This window comes from Homo sapiens, chromosome 14 (genome assembly GCF_000001405.40).
Source record: "Homo sapiens chromosome 14, GRCh38.p14 Primary Assembly".
In the NCBI taxonomy this organism is placed as follows: domain Eukaryota; kingdom Metazoa; phylum Chordata; class Mammalia; order Primates; family Hominidae; genus Homo; species Homo sapiens.
Window position 1 is genome coordinate 53,303,323 of NC_000014.9, and position 3,631 is coordinate 53,306,953.

Below are 3,631 nucleotides of genomic sequence, written 5' to 3' on the forward strand. Positions count from 1 at the left end.
CCTTTGGTTTTAATTTCCTCCTGTAGCTCGGAGTAGTTTGATCGTCTGAAGCCTTCTTCTCTCAACTCGTCAAAGTCATTTTCCATCCAGCTTTGTTCCGTTGCTGGTGAGGAACTGCGTTCCTTTGGAGGAGGAGAGGTGTTCTGCTTTTTAGAGTTTCCAGTTTTTCCATCAGCAGAATGATTTTAAGGACTGAACTAAAATCTAGAGAAAATGATTGAGAAATTTTGAGTAATTAGTCTCCAAAAGTTAAGGATGAGCTTTGGCCTTAGGATATTAAATGACTTGGGATAAGGAGCAGCAGCTCATGCCTATAATCCCAGCACTTTGGGAGGCTGAGATGGGCAGATCACCTGAGATCAGGAGTTCAAGACCAGCCTGGCCAACATGGCAAAACCCTGTCTCTACTGAAAATATAAAAATTAGCTGGATATGATGGTGCATGCTACTCGGGAGGCTGAGGCAGGAGAATTGCTTGAACTTGGGAGATGGAGGTTGTAGTGTGTGGAGATTGGGTCATTGCACTCCAGCCTGAGCAACAGAGCAAGACTCCGTCTCACAGAAAAAAAAAAAGACATGGGACACGTAGTATCCTTTGAAGTACTTATGGCACAACTTGCCTCTTAGAAGTTCTTGAAGATATGGAAGGAGAGCAAAGTGATGTGTGTTGTAGAAAACAGATGCTGCTGATTTGAATGAAGGTTCAACGTGAGAGCTTGGTCCATAAAGCAGACCCATGGACCTAGTCTACCCTACACTAACCTGCCTCCCCCACACGCACAAACTGTGGAGGAGAACGCCCCCACACATTCTGGCTCTGTTTCCCCTTGTACTGTGGGAATTTGAGCCTCCTTATCCTCACAAATGGTTCTGAAAGCCCTCAAAAGAGTATATCACCAGTGTATTATTTTCCAATTTCTGCTGTAACACATTACCACAGTCTTAGTGGCTTAAAACCACACACACTTATCTTATATAGTTCTGGGGGCTGTAAGTCTAAAATGGGTCGGCAGAGCCATGCTGCCTTGGGAAGCTCCACGGGAAAACCCATTTCGTTGCCTTTTCCAGCTTCTGAAGACTTCCTACATTTCTTAGCTTGAGGCCTCTTTCTTTATCTTTAAAGCCAGCAGTGCAGCATCTTTGTATCTCTCTCTGACCACTGCTTCTGTTGTTGTATCTTCTTCTCTGATTCTGACTCTCCTTCCTCCCTTTTCTAAGGACCCTGTGATTGATTGTCTTGGGCCCACCACATAATCCAGGATAATGTCCCCATCTCAACGTCCTTAATCACATCTACAATGTCCCTTTTGCCCTGTAAGGTAATGCACTCACAGCTTCTGGGGTTTAGGACGTGGGCATCTTTGGGGGGTCTTTATTCCACTACCGCAGCCAGTTCTCTGAGAACTAGTTGTTTTTGTCACAGCAGGAGGTCTGTGATTTTTCTTCTTCTGATACTGGGTCATTAAATGCTGGCTTCATTTGCAGCTGGGGCCTCTTCTTCATGAATGGCAGATGCAGCAGCAGTGTCACAGATGCCTCCCAAAGGCACCCTCTCTCTGTGGATGCTGCCAGTCTCCAAGATTGAGGATGGTGATGTCAGCCCTACGGCTGCCCAAGGCCAGTGCTGTTTTTATTGTTTCCACCACCATCAACACAGCCAGCAGCATGAGGGGGGCCAATAATGTCAACAGGTTTCAGCATTTTCTCCATCATCACCCTTGGGACTTGGATGTGAGTCTCCTGGATAAGCTGAGCGATGGTCACCCTGCTTTGTTAATGACCACACCACCCCTTGAACCCTGGCCCATTGGTTTTGAACCAGCTTCTCTCTTTCCCTTTGGGGTCATTCTGTCCCAGGAGGCTCCTCTGTTCCTCCTTACACCACAGCTGTCCTTCCAGGCTCAGATATTTTGGAATCTCAGTGTAAACACAGCTGGGACTCAGGCTGCCACGTAACACATGCTTCTCTTAGGCTACCTTCCCAAGTGTTTACATTCCATGCTGGAAGAACTTGGCTCCTTCAACAAACTCAGAGAAAGAATCAGTACAGTTCCTAATTTTTCACACTTTCTACCTAGTCTAGGATTGAGCATCTGGATCCAATTGGAGGCCACTTGTCCTAATTTAGCACTTCCTATTAATTTGTAAGGAATTACTATTGAAATACATAATTTAGCAACTTCAGATTTTACAAGCTATGGCAAGTGCCATACCAAATAGGATTTGACTGGATTTATTGCTGTTGAAAAGGAAATCTTTGATTTTTCTCCTCCTAGCTACTATTGATTCATTTCATACCAGAGTGTATAAAATTGGACCTATAGAAAACATTTTCTTCCCTCCCTTGATCTGGTTGGAAAAAATGTTTTCATTTCATGAAATAAACAGTGAAAGAATTTTCATGAATATGTATGTAGTTTTAATGAGTTTTGTTTCTCATGATGAAATGTATTAATATTTTATATGTTGCCCTCCCGGGAAATGGAGGAATCTGAGATCCTAGACTAGCTGCAGTTTGTCCAACAGGAATCAATATTCATAATGCTCAGGACAGTGGAACCTAATTCCCAGAACCTCTGGTTGTGGAGGCTGACCTGGGCAGAGGAGGCAGGCTGAGGAGGCATTGTTGCAGTAGGGAATATCCTGCACATACCCAGCTTCTTCACCTGGGTGGCGAGGACACAGGTTGCTGAAGACTCAGGAATGTGTATGCAAGTCTTTAAGGAGTAGGAAATGGGAGGGAGATGAGGGGTGGGCATGGTGGGAGGCTCCTGAGAGATATAAAAACAGGGTTCCAGTAGTTGGACTGTCGTCCTTCCACAGGCCTTTTCATTGATGTGCAAGAGTCATCTTTTGGTACCACTTCCTGGGGACGTTTCCTCCCTCGAGATTGATAACTGAGAATAACCCTAGCCATACTGGAATATAATTCCTGATATCCTGAAAGTGTATTTTCACATTCAGATATACAACTATACCCAGGTGTACCTATTCCCGTTAATTTTGGGCATGGCGCGGTAGCTGAGGCCCATGGATTGAAACAAAGACCGCTTCTGCCATCTGCTGGGCACTCTGAGGAACTCAAAGGATTTTTCCACAGGAAGAGGGGGAGTTTGATGAATTTCGTTTCAAATTTACTTTAGCACTTGAGAATTTAGCCAAGTATTAAACAGATTAATTTTTGCCTTTGTGAAGGCTTGCATGACTTTGATCATTCAGTCGTTTTAATGAACTCAACGTGGTTGTTTCCGATTTGGCCTTGAAAGCCTTGGCATGTCGCCGTGCTCTGAGTGGGAGCCTCGCTGCCTCCAGCTTGGGTTTCTCAGTTTTGGCAGGGCTTTCCTTCCCACTGATGGAAGATTTACAGAGGAAAAAAAAATCATTATGTCTGAAATTCTGCCAGGATACATCAGCGTATTTCCAGGCTGCCATCTACCGTGTAACTCTCTGAAGATTTAATATGAAAATTAAAAAAAAAATTGCAGTGCACCTGCTCCTAAGGAAAACTACCTTGTCGTAGGATCGCATGCTTTTATTAAATTAGAGAATTTTAAATTGTATTTATGAGGATGTACAACTTGGGTTTCTTCCCTTAGGCTTCCTGGTCTCTGTGTTAAGTACAACTTGCCTC

At 44.2% G+C, this 3,631-nt stretch overlaps 1 annotated feature.

The window, feature by feature from the left end:
* Window positions 2,929–3,223: an enhancer, noted in NCBI's record as "tiled region #9489; HepG2 Activating DNase unmatched - State 4:PromP, and K562 Activating non-DNase unmatched - State 12:CtcfO". NCBI's record gives its function as "activates a minimal TATA promoter and a strong SV40 promoter by Sharpr-MPRA in HepG2 and K562 cells {active_cell/tissue: HepG2 | K562}" and the evidence as "EXISTENCE:reporter gene assay evidence [ECO:0000049][PMID:27701403]".